General features: G+C 44.8%; 1 protein-coding gene across 2 annotated transcripts in view, besides 3 other annotated features; it reads left to right on the forward strand.

The window, feature by feature from the left end:
• Nucleotides 1-21,830, forward strand: part of ZNF664-RFLNA (ZNF664-RFLNA readthrough) — a 342,810-nt gene that overhangs the window by 146,894 nt on the left and 174,086 nt on the right. The gene's annotated exons all lie outside the window — the stretch shown is intronic.
• Nucleotides 4,203-4,704: an enhancer, noted in NCBI's record as "H3K27ac hESC enhancer chr12:124608857-124609358 (GRCh37/hg19 assembly coordinates)". NCBI's record gives its function as "activates a minimal SCP1, AML or CMV promoter by ChIP-STARR-seq in primed H9 embryonic stem cells {active_cell/tissue: H9 hESC(primed)}" and the evidence as "EXISTENCE:reporter gene assay evidence [ECO:0000049][PMID:30033119]".
• Nucleotides 20,127-20,869: an enhancer, noted in NCBI's record as "NANOG-H3K27ac hESC enhancer chr12:124624781-124625523 (GRCh37/hg19 assembly coordinates)". NCBI's record gives its function as "activates a minimal SCP1, AML or CMV promoter by ChIP-STARR-seq in primed H9 embryonic stem cells {active_cell/tissue: H9 hESC(primed)}" and the evidence as "EXISTENCE:reporter gene assay evidence [ECO:0000049][PMID:30033119]".
• Nucleotides 20,870-21,611: an enhancer, noted in NCBI's record as "NANOG-H3K27ac-H3K4me1 hESC enhancer chr12:124625524-124626265 (GRCh37/hg19 assembly coordinates)". NCBI's record gives its function as "activates a minimal SCP1, AML or CMV promoter by ChIP-STARR-seq in primed H9 embryonic stem cells {active_cell/tissue: H9 hESC(primed)}" and the evidence as "EXISTENCE:reporter gene assay evidence [ECO:0000049][PMID:30033119]".

Genomic DNA, 21,830 nt, shown 5'->3' on the forward strand with positions numbered 1-21,830 from the left:
AACCCTTGAGCCAATCACATGGCTGTGGGTCCCTGGGTTCCTGCTGCCTGGGTGGGGCCCCATCTGAACCCCTTCTCTGAGAGCTCTTGGGTGTGGGTCCCTGGAGGGAAACTGGGGGCTGTTTAGGAAGAAAATCAACATGCCCAATGTCTGCTGGATCAGTGAACCCGATTATGATAAAATAAAAATATCGAGAACTCTCAAATTTGCCTAAACCTGGGCACCCCAGGTGTTTGCCCATTAGTGCCTCTGTATGAGTCACCTTGGTTTTCTAGGTTCATGGATCTACCCCATGTCTCCACATTCTTGGATATTTATAAGAACCTTTCCACATTCAGAGTGGGGCTAGAGGAGGAAAAAACTTACTTGCTTGATTAATTAAATCAATTACTTAATACCCTAAAGCTTTCTGATGCTGTAAAGTGCAGGTTTCATATACTGGGCATGAGGGGTTTTCATAGACTCGACTTGTGTTGCAAATTAAAACAACGTTAAATTCCTTAGTAATCCTAGCAGAAAGGAAAAAAAAAAAAGTAAGAAAAAAGAAAAGGGAAAATAAAACCCCTCTTATTTCCAAATCACTACCAGTGGAATTTAAAAAATTATTTACACACTTAGCTGTGAGTCCCTTTATACCTGACAGGTTTGCCAGTAAGGCTGGAGCAATAATTTAAAACAGAAGTTGGGAGTATGGATAATGAACTCCCTCTCTTTTCCAAAATAAATGTACCATCGGATCCACAAGAGAGGTGACTTTTCCTAAGAAAGGACTGTACGTTTGGGAGCCAGGGGCCCCTGATGCTGTGTGAGGTAAGCCGATAGCACAGTGTGTTACTGTCTGTGGATGCGAGAATGAAATGAGGGCTGTTTCTTTGATTTATAGTGGAAGGAAACACCAATTTCTTGTCACAGATCATTACAGTTGAATTTAGGTCAAACTCATATGCTTATATGGAATTACTAATGCATGGAGGTACTTTTTGCTTTTTGTTTTTAACTCGCCAATCATTATCTACAGGATTTTTCTCGGGGGAGGTGGGGGATGGAATTTCACTCTGACACCCAGGCTGTAGTGCTGTGGCGTGATCTCAGCTCACCGCAACCTCCGCCTCCCAGGTTCAAGAAATTCTCCTGCCTCAGCCTCCTGAGTAGCTGGGATTACAGACATGTGCCACCACGCCCAGTTAATTTTTGTATTTTTAGTAGAGACGGGGCTTCACCGTGCTGGCCAGGCTGATCTTGAACTCCTGACCTCAAGTGATCCGCCTGCATCGGCCTCCCAAAGTGCTGGGATTACAGGTGTGAGCCACCGTGCCTGGCCATCGACTGAATATTATACTGAATTTTATTTTGAAAACAGAGAAGACTCCATTCTCTGCCTCCTGATGTACACATTCCGGAAGGGGTCATTGTTGGATGGTTGAGTGCATTGGGGTTATATTGAAATGGATTTGGGAAGGCTCTACAGCAAGGAAGGAATCTTCAGGTCTCTAGAATGTTCCTAGGCTGCTTCTCAGAGTGAGAGTCTGTAGTGGACACTGCCAGGGTCCAACCCATATCTCTCCAATGGCCATCATGCTCAACTCAACTCCCAAACACCTGCACCCTGGAAGACCACTTTTCCCAGCCAGCAGCTGGAAGTGCTGGGGGTTCCACTGCCCCCAAGAAACCCTCAACCAATGGCCCTAAGCAGTTGGTGTATAAATACCCCAGTTCCCTTGTTCCTCAGGTGGCATCATTCTTCTTTAAAAAGACTTCTTTATTTTGTAATTATTTTATTTTACTTTATTTTATTTATTTATTTGTTTTTGAGACAGAGTCTCGCTCTGTCGCCTAGACTGGAGTGCAGTGGCATGATCTCGGCTCATTGCAACCTCCGCTTCCCGGGTTCAAGTGATTCTCCTGCCTCAGCCTCCCGAGTAGCTGGGTTTACAGGTGTGTGCCACCATGCCTGGCTAATTTTTTGTGTTTTTAGTAGAGACAGGGTTTCCCCATGTTGGCCAGGCTGGTCTTGAACTCCTAACCTCAAGTGATCTGCCTGCCTTGGCCTCCCAAAGTTCTGGGATTACTGACATGAGCCTCCGTGCCTGGCCTATTTTGTAATAATTTTAAACTTACAGAAAATCGCAAGAAAGAGCTGAGAGTTTCCATATACCCTTTTCCCAGATTCCTCTAATGTCGAAATCTTGTACAACCACAGTACGATGATCACAGTGAGGGAACTGACATGGATATGATACTGTTAATGAAACTACAGACCGAATCCACATTTTATAGGCTTTTCCATGAACGTCCTGCTTCTGTCCCAGGATCCAATCCAGAGTCCTCCTCTGCCTTTAGCTGTTATGTCTCGAGTCTCTTCCTTGTCATGGTTTTTCAGTCTCTCATGACCTTGACATTTGTGAAAAGCACTGGTCAACGATTTTGAGAATGGCCCTCCATTTGGATTTGTCTGCCGTTCTCCTGTGTTCAAGACGAGGTTATGCATTTTGGCAAGAATGCCACAGAGGTGATGTTGTATCTGTCTCGATGGCGTTGTGTCAACGTTAAACCTCAATCACTCAGTTAAAGTAGTGCCTGCTGATATTCTCCTCTGTAAAATTTCTATTTTTTTCCTTTGTAATGAATAACTTCCTTGGGGGAGGAACTTTGAGACCTTGCAAATATCTTGTTTTTCTTCGAACTTTCGCCTACTGATTTTGGCATCCGCTGGTGGGCCCTGCGAGCAACAATGGCTAGTGTGGTGTTTGCCTGTGTGACGATTTTCTATTTTCTTTATTTATTTACTTTGAATTTATTAATTTATTGTTTAATTTTATCTATTTGTATTTAAATTTATTGATGTGATTATTATTTAATTTATTACATTTATTAATTAGAATGCCTTTTTTAGGGAGGATGTCCCTTCTGGGTGGGGTAATTCCAGGTCGTGGACTTTGCACCATTGCCCAGTTTCCTCGTGGGGTCAACTCCATGGCCCGCAAGAGTAGCTTGCTTGAAACACAGGACGCCCCTGTGGCTTTCTTCCCCTCCCTGCCTTATTTGCTCACTCCCTGGGGATACATCCCACACCTTCCAAAGAGCATCGCTGCACTTAAATCCTGACTCAGGATCTGCTTCTTGGATAGTCCAAACCCAGACAGCCCCTCTCACAGTACAGCACTTCCCCCCACCCCCACAGATGGGACAAGGACGGAGACCAGGTCACTCCAGGGAGAGCCGTGGCTAGTGGAACAGCTCCACCGTGAAATGGGTTGAGGTCGAATCCAAAATCTGAATGAACCCTTTATTCCACCTATTCCCCAGCAGCCTCTTTTCTTTGTGAACGTTTCCCCTATATTTTACCTAAATGAATGCAGCTGAACAGACTGTGCTTTAGAGCCTCTGGAAGACACCCAACAGAATGTTCTGAAAAATGCGATTATTTTTACACAAAATTGCCAATGTAAATTCAACTTCTTGTGACCAGCCTGGGATTCCCACACAACTGCATGCTGAGGTTGTTTTCCAGAAGGACCGAGGATGTCCAGCAGAGACTGATGGAGCTGTGAATAGCCCAAGGTGCTGTCTTACATTGTAGGCAGCCGAGGGGTTGACAAAACAAAGGCTTTGGAGCTAAATGGTGGCTGATAGACTTTGGCACCAGCTTAAATCAGTGAATTTCACAGATTTTGGAACATCTAGCTTCTGATTTCAGAGACACGTGGTGTCCTGATCTCTGGTGTCTAGGAAGCGTGGCTGGGGGGATGTGTGGTAGTGTTTGGCTTAGTGGATCAACACACCAGATTAAACCACTAGATGGTCCCCCTCCCTCTTCCAGCCCCCTCCCTCCCCCAGCCACTGATTGCTGGTGAACAGGCAGTTTGGGAGGGCTCAGGTCAGGCATCTGCCTGAAAAAAGGGTCAGGGATGTGGATAAAACAGAGATTGACCCACTCTTCCCATTGAGCCTTTTCCCAGTTTTGAAATTTTCATATCATTTTCTGCTAAAAATATTCTTGAGGGAAAAAATATTTTTTTTTCAATTTTAGATTCCTAGGAGGACAAAGGGGGGAAAATGCATATGTAATGAGAGATGCAAATCTAGAACAAATTCACACTCCATTACCCAAAACCTTCGTGTTATCCAAAGTCAGGTATGTTTGGAGATGCGGCATTTTTTCTAAACTTTGGAAAGTAATATGTTACATATATTGTATATTACAGAACACCCCCGACCCAGCAGGGTTTGGGGAAGAACTCTGTAATAGCACGTTATTTTCTGTAGTAAATTTCAGGAATAGTCACGCTAAGCTGGATCAATAAAGGCTCTAAGTCAACTCACATCACCTCAGTTCAGGTTTTGGTACCAAATGATTTATAAGAAAACTTGTGGTTTTAAGACCTTTCTTTTTTTTCTTTTCTTTCTTTCTTTATTTTTTCTTTTCTTTTTTTTTTGAGATGGAATTTCACTCTTGTTGCCCAGGCTGGAGTGCAGTGGTGCGATCTCGGCTCACTGCAACCTCTGCCTCCCAGGTTCAAGTGATTCTGCTGACTCAGCCTCCCGAGTAGCTGGGATTACAGGCACGCACAACCATGCCTGGCTAATTTTTTGTTTTTTTAGTAGAGACAGGGTTTCATCATCTTGGCTGGGCTGGTCTGGAACTCCTGACCTCAGGTGATCCACCTTGGCCTCCCAAAGTGCTGGGATTACAGGCGTGAGCCACCTCACCCGGCCTGAGACCTTTCTTGATTCTGGATGTGTGGATATGGGTAAGGGATTGTGGACCTATTTCTCCTTTCTAGCCTGACATTAGAAATTAGGCTGACCCAGAGAAGCCTGCAGTATTATTCCTCTTTGTTGGAAAAGTTTGCATCAACATCTTTGATCAGACCAACCAGAATCTGGTACAAAAGTTGCTTCCCTGTTTTTTTTGTAAGCCAAGGTGTGCTTTTGGGGAGGGAGACAGGAGTGCAGATGACCACGAGAGGCCTCTGTGCTGTGGGATGTGGGTGAGTGGGGAGAGGCAGGAAACTGGAACCTCTGCATGGGTTTGACCTCCCCTTCCCCAGAGTCCGGCCAGGTTCCGTAGGGCTGGCTACAAACACCACCATCTCGCTTGTCATCCTGAGGATATCATTTTTGGGCAGCCAAGATACCCCAAAATGGCCTTATTTCCTTAGAGGGGTGGCTCAGAAAGGGAGAGCAGTTTGGCAATGAAAGAGACACACCACTGCAAGGAAAAATATACGCCCACTGTCAGTTTATTTTCATTGTAACCCCAGAGTCCTCTCGAGGGTGCTCACTGAGTACTATAATTTGCTGTGCACCATTTAGAGAAGAACAGAATTGAAACATATAAATAGGACTTTGAAAATAGCATGGAACACAGATCCTTTCTTTTTTTCCTTTGCAGAAAAGATATTTTGAATAAGTCTTTCAGGCTTTTTGATTTATAGGTTTGCTATTAACCGTGGCATTGAGCAGTCAAATACAAAGCATGCACGGCTGGAGTTCACCGGGCCCTGATGAGCACGGTTTTCACAGAATGAGCAAGCCAGGGCTTGTGCTGGTTTCCTGCTTCTGCTGTAATAAATCACCACAAGCTTAGTGGCTTCGGACGACACTCATTTATTATCTCAGAGTGCTGGAGGTCTGAGGTGTGAGCTCTGAAATGGGCCTCATGGGCTAAAGTCAAGGGGTCAGCAGGGCTGCATTCCCCTTGGAAGCTCCCGAGGAGGACCTATTTCTTGCCTCTTCCCCCTTCTTGAAGCCACCTGCATTCCTCGGCTCGTGGCCCCCTCCCCCATTTGAGTCTTTCTGATGCCTCATCACTTTAAGCTTCTCTTCTGCCTCCCTCATCCATCTTTTAGGGACTCTTGTGACTACATTGTGTTCACCTGCATACTCCAGAATAATCTCATTATTATTATTATTTTGAGACAGGCTCTCTCTCTGTCACCCAGGCTAGAGTGCAGCGGCATGATCAGGGCTCACTGCAGCCTCGACTTCCCAGGCTTAGGTGATCCTAGCACCTCAGTCTCCCAAATAGCTGTAACTACAGGTGTGTGCCCCCATGCCTGGCTAATTTTTGTATTTTTAGTTGAGATGAGGTCTCTCCATGTTGCCCAGGCTGGTCTCAAACTCCTGGGTTCAGGTGATCCACCTGCCTTGGCCTCCCAAAGTGCTGGGATTACAGGTGTGAGCCACCGCACCTGGCCAATCTCCTCACTTTAATGTCCACTAATTGACAACCTTAATTTCACATGTAACCTTAATTGCCCCTTGCCATGTAACCTATTTGCAGCTTCCCAGAATTAGGATGTGGATATCTGTGGGGTAGGACCAGTATTCTGCCTACCACAGGGTGAATCCCAAAGATATGGAGTGAGCTGGCCATAGGAGAAGAAGGAAGATGTGGGCAGGGAGGAGAGAGACTATTGTGTATCAAATACCATTACTCTTGATAATGGCATGTATTAAGTGCTCACCAGTAGCTTTGCCCAGTACCTACTCTGGTCTCATCTAACTCTATGAAGTAGATACTATGACTCTCCTCATTTTACAGATGAGGGAAAACAGAAGCTTATAGAGCAGTGTTGTTCAATATGGTAACCTCGAGCCATATGTGACCATTGATGTTTAAATACATTGACTAATTAAGATGAGTTAATCAAACTGTGGCATTAGACAACACCTTAAGCCATACACATGTGGCTGTTGGCTACCGTATTGGACAGCACAGGCGCTGATCATTTCCATCACCGCAAAGTTCTCTGGGACAGGGCTGTTGTAGAGGATAAATATGGGTCCCAACATCACATAACTGGAAAGTGGGAGAATCAAGATTAGAACCTGGTGCCTTAGGCTTAGAGCCTTGTCTTGGAATCACCCTATTACACAGACGTCCAGTATTCATTTCTCTGACCACATCTGGGAGCTTTGAAATCTGCCATATGTTGGGTAAAACTACTCTACATCTCAGCCACACCACCCTTATTTAACCCCTTCTTAAGAACACGTGGGTTCTGGCCACGTTTCTTGGATGTTTTCATTTAGCACCTGGCGTGAGTCATAAGAGGAAACCAAACGATGGTCAGCTTGGCCTTTCTGCTTCCCCAGTAGCTGCGCGGCACAAACTAGTTGCAGCTGTCTCTTTCCTACCCCTTCACTTGCCTCCCAAAGGTGGATGGAAGCCTCCTGGTTACCAAATGAATAAGAAGTGGAAGGTGACCGAGGGCCATGAATGATCAAATTAAAGGAAATGGCACATATTCCTCAAGCGGACTCCTTGTGCTGCAGTGTTGGCGGGACGAGAAGTGCTGCTTTGCCGAGCCCAGCATGGAAAATAATCCAATTTTCCTCTGACTTTTTCTGTTGAGGATTGCCAAAGAAGATGGCCTGTTTGGCTTCAATAATAGGAACAGCTAACGTTTATCCAGCGCTCAGAACACACCCTTGTCCTAATAGCTCCCCATGGATTAATCCATTGCCCTATGAGACAGGTGCTATTAATTTCACCTCCCCGAGGTCACAGGGCCAGTCATGGTGGTGCAGGATGTGGACCAGGAGGCCTGGCTTCAGGGTCTGGGCTCTTAAGCTGGTGTAGTACTTCTTCTCTACCTTGGGTATGTCAACCCGGAGGCCACTTTCTTCCCTTTTTCAGATGCCTGTAGTTTGCTGATGGAGCCAGAAACTGATGTGTCTGGTGTTGAAGAGAGGCAAGCTGGGTATGCCCAGCCCTGTCTGTGGTTTGAAGCAGGCTCTCCACCTCTTCATTGCTGGGTGTCAGCACTGGCCCCGGGAGGTCTCCAGGAAGGATCCGGGCCATGTTCCGAGCTACAGGGAACGGAGTAGAAGTGTGAACCAGGCTGAGTGTGGTGGCTCACACGCTTGTAATCCTGGCACTTTGGAGAGGCTGAGGCAGGAGGATCACTTGAGCCCAGGAGTTCCAGACCAGTCTGGGCAACATAGTGAGGCCCCATCTCTACTAAAAATACAAAAGATTAGTCGGGCGTGATGGTGTGTGCCTGTAGTCCCAGCTACTCAGGAGGCTGAGGCAGGAGGATCACCTGAGCCCAGGAAGTTGAGGCTGCAGTGAGCCGTGATTGTGCCACTGCACTCCAGCCTGGGTAACTGGAGTGAGACCCTGTCTCCAAAAAAAAAAAAAATTTTTTTTAATTCATAAATGTGCCACTGCACTCCAGCCTGGGTAACTGGAGTGAGACCCTGTCTCCAAAAAAAAAAAAATTTTTTTTTAATTCATAAATGTACGGATTACACAGTCACTAAAAGTGTCATTGATTCACTATTGTCTCTATTCCAAAGATTAATTATTAAGATTAATAGTTAAGATTAATATGAAGATTAATAATTAAGATTAATTGTGCAATAATAGTATTAAAACCAGAATGATAGGAATGGGAGCACATCTTATGATTTCTACTTTGAAAAAGAGAGGAATTTCATTTGTGGCACAAGAGTAATTTTAAAAAAAACCCCAACAACCTGGGAGCATGCAGGGATGGTTAAAATGAAACGTGGAGTCCAGCGCGCAGGCCACCTGACAAGTATTCCCCCGTTTCCACTTCTCTCTTGCCATGCTTTGGCTTGGCTTCCATCTCTGGGATTTTCTTTCAATTCATTGACTATTCAAAGGGCTTCATTTTCAGGTCATTTTCCACGTAAGACTTTAACCCTTTCTTCTCTCTGCCCATCAGCCTGAAAAGTGCTTCCTTATTGCCTTTCTTTTCTACTGGTATTGGGCTGAATTGTTTAAACTTCAAAAATATGTACATAACATTTAAGAGATTTTTTGTTTGTTTGTTTGAGACGGAGTTTCGCTCTTGTTGCCTAGGCTGGAGTGCAATGGCGCGATCTCGGCTCACTGCAACCTCCGCCTTCCTGGTTCAAGCGATTGTCCTGCCTTAGCCTCCCCAGCAGCTGGGATTACAGGCATGTGCCACCACGGCTGTCTAATTTTGTATTTTTGGTAGAGACGGGGTTTCTCCATGTTGGTCAGGCTGGTTTTGAGCTCCCGACCTCAGGTGATCTGCCCGCCTCGGCTTCCCAATGTGCTGGGATTACAGGCGTGAACCACCACGCCTGGCCAAGAGATTTTTATAAATTACGAAGAACAAAGAAGAAAACAAAATAAACAAAAATGGTCCATATCTCCCATAATCCCTGTTTACATTTTGTTGTTGTTGAGACAGGGTCTTGCTCTGTCGCCCAGGCTGGAGTGCAGTGGTGTGTTGTGGCTTACTGCAACCTCTGCCTCCCAAGCTCGAGCGATTCTCCCACCTCAGCCTCCAGAGTAGCTGGAACTATAGGTTTATGCCTCCATATCTGGCTAATTGTTTTAAAATTTTTTTTGTAGGGACAGGGTTTCACCATGTTGCCCAACCCGACCTCAAACACCTAGGCTTAAGCAATCTGCCTGCCTCGGCCTCCCTAAGTGCTGGGATTACAGGTATGAGCCACCATGCCTGGCCCTGTTTATATTTTTTAAAATCCACTAAAATTTTTAATGCTTGATAATTTGAACAGTGCAGAAAAATCCAACACGGAAAATAAGCTCCTCTCTCCTATTTTTCCTGCAGATTCTGCTTCCTAGGACTGTGTAGATTTAGTAAATTAAAATACAGGATGCCCAGGTGAATTCGAATTTCAGAGGAACAACAAATAATTGTGTAACATAAGTATATCCCATTTAAATAATTTTTTGGTATAAGAATGTCCCATATATTGCATGGGTTATACTTACACTAAAAATTATTCCTGAAAAATTATGGAGAAACACAAGGCTGGCAGCATTGTAGGAAATGGGTTTTTTCTAGATCTAAGGGTTGAATGATACCTGCCACTTGGAATTCATGAAATTACTGGTTGTTGTTGAATCTTATTTCAAACAACAGAATTTGCTTTTTTTTTTTTTTTTTTTTTTGAGGGAGGGTCTCGTTCTGTCACCCAGGCAGGAGTAGTGCAGTGGCGTGATCTTGGCTCACTGTAGCCTTGACCTCCTGGGCTCAAGTGATCTTCCTGCCTATTTTTTTTTTTTTTTTTTTTTTTTTTTGAGACAGAGTCTCGCTTTGTCACCCAGGCTGGAGTTCAGTGGTGTGATCTCAGCTCACTGCAACCTCCGCCTCCCGGGTTCAAGCGATTATTGTGCCTCAGCCTCTGAGTAGCTGGGATTACAGGTGTGTGCCACCATGCCTGGGTAATATTTGTATTTTTAGTAGAGACAGGGTTACACCAATTTGACCAGGCTGGTCTTGAACTCCTGACCTGAGGTGATCCTCTCACCTCGGCCTCCCAAAGTGCTGGGATTACAGGTGTGAGCCACCGCACCTCCCCTGCCTCATTTTTTTGAATTTTTTTTTTTTTTTTTTGTAGAGATGAGGTCTCACTGGATGTTGCCCAGGCTGATCTTGAACTCCTGGGCTTGAGCAATCCTCCCACCTTGGCCTCCCAAAGTGCTGGAATTACAGATGTGAGCCACCATGCCCGGCCAGAATTTGCTTCTTATTTAGTGCTTAAAGAGCTGGTCGATTTAAATTTTCCTCATTACTGGATGTTGATCATGCTGATTTAGTGGACACAGGCAGGAGCTTTTCTCTTCCTTCTGCTGTTAAGCAGGATTCCTCCCAAGCCCAGACGTCTCTGGATCATCTCTGGATGTTAGCTGGAAGTTGGACCTCAGCTGCAAGGTCATTATCATCTCCTCTGATCTTCTGTCCTCGCCCTCTCCGCTTCCAGTGTGGGGCTCAGCATGTGTATTTACTCACCTCGCACTGTTTGTTTTCAGATTGAATCCGTGAGAAGGAAGCAAAGGCCTCTGTGTGTTTACTTTGCCCTGTGAAAGCCAGCCCAGGGGGTCAACTCCCTCTCCCACAGCCAGTGCACCCACCCCCCACCCACACCGCCCCCTCAGAAACCTTGCCCCTTGACAATATTTTCAAACCTTATACATAATCTCAATCCATTTTAATGTTCCAATCCATTACACATACCCATGTGCACAGGGGTGAGAGTCAAAATATTTAACATCTGGGAAGGCCAGGAGGCTGACCCATCAGATCTGGTCTCAAAGCTGAGCTGTGTCCTGGAAGTCCCCTGCTGTGCCAGAATCAACATGAGAGTTTGGGGAGGGGTGCCCCAAGGCAGTAGGGGGGCAGCAGGTGGGCAGCAGCTGTCTAACAACCTGTAAAAATGCATTTTGATCTCTTAACCAGTAGAACTGTAAGGCTGAGCACCAGCTGAATCTCAGCTTTGCATATGTAAGGCTGAAACCAAAGTTTCACAAAACAATACCTACTTTTGAAACCACCTTTGCAAAATTATAACTGAGGAAATGACAACAGTGAAAGAAATCAGACCTAACCGACTCCATCTCGCTTCTAACCTTTAAGCTGTCCTTGTTCATTCCTGGGCATGGGCTGAACAAACTTTGGGATGGAATTCAGTTCATGGTTTGACTCTGACACAGAATTGATAATAGCCGTTTCCGGAAAAGACCCCCTGCTTGCCTGGGGACCAGTCTGCCTTTGCAGGACTAACAAATTAGCTACAAGATGAGAAGTTACAGTTTAGGGGTCATGCAGCCTCTGGCTCCAAGAGTCTAAACCCCCCCAGATTGCTCCTAGGAATAAGATCACTGTTGTAAAACCTAAGATCAGCGCTTGAGATATTTTGCAGAGCCTGCATTCTGATGCACCAGCTAACACCACCCAGACCAGTCATCTGGCTCAGCCAGTTCTGCTATCCCACCCAGGAACAGAAGACAGCAAGAAAAACTCACTTCAAACCCCTGATTCCATCTCCAGTCTGGCCAATCAGCACTCCCCATTTCCCAAGCCTCTACCGGCCAAATTATCTTTAAAAGCTCTGATCCCTGAATGCTCGGAGAGTCTGATTTCAGTAATAATAAAACTCTGGTCTCCCGCACAGCCGGCTCTGTGTGAATTACTCTTTATCCATTGCCATTCCCCTGTCTAGGCACCGGGCAAGGTGAGCCCATTGGGTGGTTAACTTTTACGTCTGTGACACATTCTGAGGTGTTTTGTCTACTTCTGTTTTGTTCTGTTCCATCCTATGCCAACTCATTCTGTCATTAAAAAAAAGAAAAAAGCTGACCAGGCATGGTGGCTCACGCCTGTAATCCCAGCACTTTGGGAGGCTGAGGCGGGCAGATCACCTGAGGTCAGGAGTTCAAGACCAGCCTGGCCAACATGGTAAAACCCCGTCTCAACTAAAAGTACAAAAATTAGGTGGGCATGGTGGTGGGTGCCTGTAGTCTCAGCTACTCAGGAGGCTGAGGCAGGAGAATCGTTTGAACCCAGGAGGCGGAAGTTGCAGTGAGCTGAAATCGCGCCATTGCACTCCAGCCTGGGAGACAGAGCAAGACTGTCTTAAAAAAAAAAAAAAGAAAGAAAAGAAAAGAAAAATAAGAAAGCTAACCTAGACTTGCTAAATTGATTTAATAACCATGAATTGGTCTCGGCCAGTTTGAAACACTGCTGTGATCTGGTAGCTCTCAAACTGCTCAGTGCCTGAGACCTACCTGGGGAAGTCTGCTAGACATGTGGATCCTCCATTCTCATTCTGCTGGCCCAGAGCCTGCATTTTTGAAGACCCCAAAGTGATTCTGATGCAGGTGGTTCAGGAGCGACTCCAGATGGAAGGGTGTTTCCTGGCTGAAAGGCTCTGGTTTGGTTTTTTTCCTAAAAGCACAAGTATAATCATAATCCCAAGTGCTGCATTTTCCTTAGAACTGAACCTGCTCAGCACAAGGCATGTTGTTCCTAGTGACAACACTGATGGCTTTTGCCATAAAAACTGTCTTTGGGCAAGGTTATCTCCAAGGCCTGGGATTCACCTGTGCCTCTGACCTGATAGTCATCTGGTGCTCTGAGTGCTGCTTCTCAAGGCACTGGGTGGGGAAGAGGAATTTTCAACTGTAGGATGTGGTTCACTCACCGAGCCAAGAATTATGGGTAGACCCCACATAACAGAGTAGACCAGTTGGCAACCCAGAACAAATTAGGAAAAATTGGCTCAAACTGTAATCCATCCTGCACACATTATTGTCTCCATTCATTAACTCACGTATGCATTAACTCAGCTAGTTTTATTGAGCACGTACTGTGTGTCAGCCCTCATGCTTCATCTCTGGGACACAGTGGTGATTAAGAGGTGGCCTTGCTTGCTGTGCCTACAGAGGGGCAGATGGAGGCCAGGTGTGGTGGCTCACGCCTGTAATCCCAGCACTTTGGGAGGCCGAGGCGGGCAGATCACGAGGTCAGGAGATCGAGACCATCCTGGCTAACATGGTGAAACCCCATCTCTACTAAATATACAAAAAATTAGCCAGGCGTGGTGGCGGGCACCTGTAGTCCCAGCTACTCAGGAGGCTGAGGCAGGAGAATGGCGTGAACCCGGGAGGCGGAGCTTGCAGTGAGCTGAGATCGCATCACTGCACTCCAGCCTGGGCGACAGAGCGAGACTCTGTCTCAAAAAAAAAAAAAAAAAAAAAAGAGGGGCAGATGGGTGGCTTGCCAGGGGTGAAGGCAAGTCTTCCATCTCGTCTTCCTTTCCTCAACAAAACTTTGCTCAAGGCAGTCCAATCTCTGTGTAGCATGTAAATAAAATAAAAAAAGAGGCCCAGCACAGTGGCTCACACCTGTAATCCCGACACTCTGGGAGGCTGAGGCAGGTGGATCATCTGAGACCAGGAATTCAAGACCAGCCTGGCCAACATGGTGAAACCCTGTCTCTACTAAAAATACAAAAAATTCGCCAGGTGTGGTGGCGGGCACCTGTAATCCCAGTTACTGAGGAGGCTGAGGCAGGAGAATCCCTTGAACCTGGGAGGTGGAGGTTGCAGTGAGCTGAGATCGCACCACTGCACTCCAGTCTGGGCAACAGAGGAAGACTCCATCTCAAAAAAGTAAAATAAAATAAAATAAGAAACTGCTTAATTTCCCAAATAATAAATACATGATGTTCTTATGAAAATTCAGAGAATACTGTAGACTAAGAAGTAAAACATGTCTTGCCTTCCATTCACCTTTCAATCTCTTCTTTCCCTAGAAGTTAACTATAGTATTGTTACCAGCTTGATGTATGTTTTATTATTATTATTAATTATTCAAAGACAGGGTCTCACTCTGTCACCCAGCCAGAGTGCAGTGGTGCCGTCATAGCTCACTGCAGCCTTGAGCTCCTGGGCTCAAGCAATTCTCCCGCTTTAACCTCCCGAGTAATTAGGACGAGAGGAGCGTGTGGCGATGCCCAGATAACTTGCTTTACTTTTGGTAGAAATGGGATCTACTGTGTTGCCCCGGCTGGTCTCCAACTGCTGGCCTCAAGTGATTCTCCCAACGTGGTCCCCCAAGTGCTGGGATTACAGGCATGAGTCACTGCACCCAGCCATGTTCTTGTCTTTTCTTAACATTTATATACATGTATTAGTACTCATAGAAGTATTTGGTATTGTCTAACATAAATGGGATCATATGTACATATCATTCTGTAACTTGCGTTTTTGTTCAATGATATGATGTTTTGGATGTATTCTCATTTCAATTTGTGTAGTAGATAACAGATCAACCCCCCGCGTTCTTTCTGACTGATTCAGGAGTTAGATTACATGGTGTGCTTGTACCATAGTTTATTTCACTGTTCCCCAATGGATGGCATTTATATTGTTTTCGAGTTTTTGCGATTGCCGCAGATGCTGGAGTGAGCGTCCTTGTGGTACCTCTTTGCACACATTTGCTTATATTTTTCAAAGATGGACCTCTAGGTGTAAAATTTCTGGTTCTAAAGCAGCAGTTTGTGGACCTGGCTGTACATTTGAAATACCTGGGGACTCTTTCAAACACCCTGTCAGGGCCACACCCCAGGCCCTTTTTTTTTTTTTTTTTTTTTGACGGAGTGTCACACTGTCGCCCAGGCTGGAGTGCAATGGTGCGCTCTTGGCTCACTGCAACCTCCACCTCCTGGATTCAAGCGATTCTTCTGCCTCAGCCTCCCAAAGTAGCTGGGACTACAGGCATGCACCACCACGCCCAGCTAATTTTTGTATTTTTAGTAGAGACAGGGTTTCACCATGTTAGCCAGGCTGGTCTTGAACTCCTGACATCAAGTGATCCGCCCACCTCGGCCTCCCATAGTGCTGGGATTACTGGAATGAGCCACTGCGCTAGGCCCACTGGACCCATTAAGTCTGAATCTCTGGGATGTGGAGCTGGTCCTCAGAATTTCTTCAAGAGCCCCCTAGGTGATTCTCATTTGTAGCCAGGGTAAGAACTACTTGTCTTAAAGTGTCTGCGTTTAAAACCTAATTGTGGCCTCCAACCAGGAGTGTAGAATGCCTGTTTCCCGGACCTTTCCCACATTGAACATTGTCAAACTTCTAGTTGTGAAAACCTAAGGGTGAAAAAAACAAACCTTGTTGTTGCCATGGTTTGCATTTGTCTTAACTACTAGCATGGTGGAGCAGCTGGTCAAATGTTAGGCAACCACCTTTACTTCTTTTGTGAATTATTCGTTCATATTCATTGCTCACTTTCTGTGTGTTCCTTAATCTTGTGTAGGAGTCTTTTATAAAATCTTAATGTGAATCTTTTGTTTTTATGTATGTTGTAACTAACTTTACCTGTAATGTGAACTTTGTGTCCTCTATTTTTTTTTTTTTTTTTTTTTTGAGACAGAGTCTCACTCCCTCAACTAGGCTGGAGTGCAGTAGTGTGATCACAGCACACCGCAGCCTTGACCTCCTGGGCTCAAGTGATCCTCCTGCCTCAGCCTAACTGAGTAGCTGGGACTACAGGCGTGCACCACCAAGCCTGGCTAATTTATATATATATATATATATATATATATATATATATATATTTTTTTTTTTTTTTTTTTTGGGGACGGAGTCTTGCTCTGTAGCCCAGGCTCGACTGCAGTGGCTTGATCTCGGCTCACTGCAACCTCTGTCTCCTGAGGTTCAAACAATTCTCCTGCCTCAGCCTCCCGAGTAGCTGGGATTACAGGCGCCCGCCACTATGCTCAGCTAATTTTTTGTATTTTTAGTAGAGACGGGGTTTCACCGTGTTAGCCAGGATGGTCTTGATCTCCTGACCTCGTGATCTGCCCGCCTCGGCCTCCCAAAGTGCTGGGATTACAGGCGTGAGCCACCGCGCCCAGCCTAATTTTTTATATTTTTTATAGAGACAGTGTCTCACTATGTTACCCAGGCTGGTCTTGAACTCCTGGGCTCAAGTGATCCTCCCACCTTGGCCTCCCAAATTGCTGGGATTACCACGCACTTTGAGGCACCACGCCCAGCCTCTTTTATCGTGTAAACATTTTACATTTTAATTTCTATGTTTTTTCCCTTTATGGCTTCTAGGTTTCCTGTCTTGTTTTAGAAATCTTATTTACCCCAAGATTTTTTTTTAAAAAAACACAACAACCATGCCCCCTTGAAACCTATCTCATTTATTTTCTTTTAATACTTGTATAGGATTTTTAAAAAATGTTGGCATTTTAATGCATTTGAAATTTCCATTTGTGAACAGTATGTGGCAATAATCTAATTTTATTTTATTTTCAAGATGGGTAGTTAATTTTCCTCATACTGTTTATTAATCTATCTTTTCCCTTGTGATTTAAAAATGTCATCTTATATACTAAATTTACATTTACATACATACACACATATGGTGCACATGTATACATGTGCATCCTCCACACACACAGCTTTTTCTAGACACTCTTTGCTGTTCCATCTATCTATGTGTTCAATCTGTATTGACACAGGGTGGATACTTTAAGTTGTAAACAACTAAAAATTCAATGTAAACTGATTAAAACAATAAAACAAATGTGCAGCTCATAGCTGAGATGTTCAGGGCCTCAGACCAGGCAAGATCCAGCAGCTCAGGTGATAGAATAAGGACCTGCTTCCTTTCTCTGTGTTATTGGCTCCACCTCCTTCCTGTTGGTGCCATCTTGGTCTGAAGCCAGGAGCTTCCAAGGCTACATGCTTCCTTGATCATATCCAACATGAAAAAGGGGGAGTCTACCTAAACAAATTCCAGAATTGGGTCTTGTTGTCCTTTGACTTGTTTTGATCCAAGAACTATGGTTGGAAGAATGGAATACACTGACTACCTTAAGCCAATCAAATCCCCGCTAGTGTTGGGGATGGGGTCAACCACACATTCATCCATTGGCTGGGATATTCAGGGTATTCTTTGGGAGCAGGAAGAGGGGGTTAGATGCTGGAGATGGCAAGGAATCGCCAAAGCACCTACATGTACCAGTATCACACTGTTTTAATGGTTACAGCTTTGTAGTATGTTTTAACATCGTACTGTTGTTTTTTTACACAATTTTATAGCTTTTCATCTTAGATGGATTTTGGAATCAGCTTCTCAAGTTATATTTAAAATCCTTGGCCAGGCATGGTGGCTCACACCTGTAATCCCAGCACTTTGGGAGGCTGAGGCGGGTGTATCACCTGAGGTCAGGAGTTGAAGACCAGCCTGGCCAACATGGTGAAACCCCGTCTCAACTAAAAATACAAAAAAATTAGCTGGACGTGGTGGCAGGTTCCTGTAATCCCAGCTACTTCGGGAGGCTGAGGCAGGAGAATCGCTTGAACCCAGGAGGCAGAGGTTGCAGTGAGCTGAGATTGCACCATTGCACTCCAGCCTGGGCAACAAGAGCAAAACTCTGTCTCAAAATAAATAAATAAGTAAATAAATAAATAAAATCCTCCTAGGAGTTTTCTTGGTATTGCATTGAAGATCTGGATTCAAGTCAACATGAAATCATCATCTTTACAAGGTTGAACCTTCTTACCTAAAGAACTAGATAAATCTTCCTGTTTATTCAGATCTACTCATGGTATCCAATGAAGTTTTGTAATCATCACATAGGTCTTGGGAATTTCTTGTTAATTTTATACCTCATTATTCTTCGTTTTTTTGTTGTTAATAAGATGGATCTTTTTGCCCCTGGCATTTTGTAATTGGTTGAGGCTGCTGTAAAGGAAGTTTACTGGTATTTGTATATTTATCTTATATCTGGCCACTGACTGAACCTCTTATTGGCTATAATGCTTTTTCAGTTGGTTCTCCTCCAAGCAGTCTTTACCTCCTTTTCCTCCTCTGTGTTCTGCAGTTTGGCTCATTCTCTCCTCTTGGAATCATATGTAGTTCCTTAATTGTCAGCTCCCTCAACCTTCTCTTATAGTTTCTCCTTCTTTACTTTGCCTCCTCCATCCTACACTACCTTCCTTCCCCAAGAACGGTTCCATTCAATGAGTCAAAAACATTCAACACCTTCAGGTTTGGTGTGTAGTATGAAGTGGATAGTTTCCCCCACATTTCCCTTAATGTATAAAATTCTTTGTCGAATAAATTGAAGGCTGTCATTTACAAGCTGCCATACTGTAGGGTAGTAATTATTCTTATACTTGTTATCCAGTTTAACTGTCTAACAGGGCCAGTGAAATAAACCACCATGTTTCTGGAGAGAGAAACTCTTTTGGGGGTTATGGCAGGGTGTAATTTAACTCTCTTTGTTAGAGCTCCAATACATGTTTTCTTGCCACTGCTTTTGGAGATAGGGAAGCAAGTATTTTTGCCCAAAATTCATTAGATTTTTAAAAATTGCATATTTTACTCTTTACAACAGGCTAGATAGCATAGAAACAGGTTGCTCATTGCAACAGTTAGATAACTTAGAAATAAAAAGCATATTAATAATCCCCCTAACTCCCACCCCCAGGTAACAAATAGTAACAATTTAGTGTGTGCCCTGCTATGCCATGTTTATACATATGGACGTATTATAGGCTTTGGTTTTTTAAAGTAAATAAGAGTATACTATTCATATTACAACTTGCTGCTCTTTTTAAAAATACACCGTGTAGAAGAGTTTTATTTTTACAAGAAAGTTGCAAAAATAGTACAGAGAGTTCTCATCTACTCTTCACCCTGTTTCCTCTATTGTACATTTGTCAAAACCAGGAGATCAACCCTAGCACGTTACTATTTTTTTTTGAGACAGAGTTTTGCTCCTGTTGCCCAGGCTGGAGTGCAATGGTGAGATCTCAGCCCATAGGAACCTCCACCTCCCAGGTTCAAGCGATTCTCCTGCCTCAGCCTCCTGAGTAGCTGGGATTACAGGCATGTGCCACCACGCCTGGCTAATTTTGTATTTTTAGTAGAGATGGGGTTTCTCCAAGTTGGTCAGGCTGGTCTCAAACTCCCGACCTCAGGTGGTCTGCCTGCCTCGGCCTCCCAAAGTGCTGGGATTACAGGCGTGAGCCACTGCTCCCGGCTGCACGTTACTATTAAAGAAGCTCCACACTTCTTTGAGCCATCACCAGTTTTCTCCAATATTTCCCTGCTGTTTTAGGGAACCAGCCAGGACACCACAGGACATTCAGTTGTCATGTCTCTTAGTCTCCTCCAATCTGAGATGGTTCTTTAGTCTATATCGGATTTTTTTTTTTTTAGGACAGATTTTCACTGTCATTGCCCAGGCTGGAGTGCAGTGGTAGAGGCAGGGTTTCACCGTGTTGACCAGGCTGGTCTCGAACTCCTGACCTCAGTTGATCCACTAACCTTGGCCTCCCAAAGTGCTGGGATTATAGGCATGAGCCACCGCACCTGGCCAGTCTCTATCTTTTATGACCTTGATACTTTTGGCCAATTATTTTGTAGAATGTCAATTTGGGTTTTTCTGATGTATTTCTCATGGTTAGACCAGGGGTATATGTTTTGGGGAGGAAGATACCAGGGGTAAAGTGCCATTTCCATCACATCATATCAGTAGAACATGGTATTGACGTCACTGACGATGCTAACCTTGATCAAACGCCAGTTGTTTCTGAACTTAATATATCAGCTATCCCTTCAGGTGAACACCCTGCCCTAGTGCACTCTTTTTAGCAACTGCATAATATTCCATACTGTTGATAAAACATGGTTCATTCCAGTCTTCCAAAGTTCTCATATACATGTGAAAATGAGGTGAAAACTCAGTTCACTGTGTGGATAAGAGTGATTCTCAATACGTGTGTTGAACTGGAATGACAGTGACACCTCTGTGTCACTGCAGGTGAGTTAAAGTTTTGGGGTCCCAGTACAGGGAGGCACTAGATAGAAGGTAGTTTCAAGGAGGGGAGGATGAATCCACAGAGGCTGACAGAACCAAGTGGGGAAGCTTCAGAAAGTGAATAAATAGGTGGAAAAAAGGATTGGGTGATAATTATGACTTGACTTCAGGTGAGAAAAGAAAATCATTATAAATGGTGGGATGCAGGGAATGCTGGGGGACCATGGAGGACCATGGGGAGGACTTTGGGAAGAACCAGATTAAACCCCAGCTTGATCCAGGCACTTCAAGATCATTCAGTGACATCTCCTTGGCTAATGGGGCAAATGGAAAAAGGAGTCTTTGGGGTAGGGTGTGGTGGCTCATGCCTGTAATCCCAGCTACTTAGGAGACAGAGGCTGAGACATGAGAATTGCTTGAACCCAGGAGGTGGCGGTTGCAGTGAGCCAGGATCACACCACTGCACCCCAGCCTGGGCAACAGAGCAAGACTCTGTCTGAAAAAAAAAAGAAAGAAAGACAGAAAGAGAAAGAAAGAAAGAGAAAAGAAAAGAAAAGAAAAGAAAAAAAGAAAAAGAACTTTTTGGAAGTCGGGAGGCCTGGGCTCTGTCTTTTGTCACATCATCTATGGACCATCTCTGAGGGCAGGTGACAGCCCAGTGACCAAACTGGCAGCCAATGCGTAGGGTGCTCCAGGTGTTTTATCAATGGTGGCTCCTGCAGAAGCCAAGAATCCAAATATTTTCCAAAAGTTCTTTGTTTCACGTGGGGCGCTGGGGTTCCCCTTTCCACTAGATGAAGGCTTCTCCCCACCCCCACTCCCCCTTAGGAAATCTGGAGCCACACTGCAGGGTGGCTTTGTCATTGACATGCCAGCATTCCATACATGCAGAAGGATCACTCAGCTTTTGAAAGTGAAAAGTTAGGGTCACTGCAATTTCCCCTTCCTTTGGATGTCTGTGGCCAGGAGCTCTCCACACAGGCCCTTTCTTCTCTGCCTGCTCTCACCCTCCCCGTCCCAAGCAGACAGAAACCAGATCTCTCCCCCCACCCCTGAAATGAAATTTCAAATCAGGAACACGTGAGGCTTTGTCTAAAAGGTAACCGATGTCAGAGAGAGCACATTGCCAATTCAATTATTCTCCTTCCTGCTGGAGACCGCAGCTTATTTCAAGCCTAATGATGGCATTTTGGGCTCACATGCTAATTTCATAGCTGTTTCCTGGGGAGGAGGGAGAGTTAGCCGGCCTTTCTGATGGTCATATCCATTGACGGTGGTGTTTTGCTGCTTCCTGAGCCGGTTCTGCAGAACTTCGGCCCTCAAACAATAATACTCTGGTTTCTTAAAATGATGATAAATGGTTAGATTAGGTCGCTCCACATATGGCAACAAGACTTGATGGAGACAGCCCAGTGCCTGAGCGCTTCCTGACAGCAGCATCCACACTCCTTGGAGTATCACCTCTCACCCCACCTGTTGGGAGGGAACTGGCTGTGTTGCTTTCAGAGAATGTGATAATTATTGTAAACCCAGAAAGTCTGAGGTCTCAGTTAACTTAGAAAGTTTATTTTGCCAAGGTTGAGGATGCACCTGTGACCTAGCCTCAGGAAGTCCTGATGACATGTGCCCAAGGTGGTCGGGGCACAGCTTGGCTTTATACATTTTAGGGAGACATGAGATGCCAATCAATATATGTAAGAAGTACATTGGTTCTGTCCAGAAAG

The sequence above is a fragment of the Homo sapiens genome, chromosome 12 (genome assembly GCF_000001405.40).
Source record: "Homo sapiens chromosome 12, GRCh38.p14 Primary Assembly".
In the NCBI taxonomy this organism is placed as follows: Eukaryota; Metazoa; Chordata; class Mammalia; order Primates; family Hominidae; genus Homo; species Homo sapiens.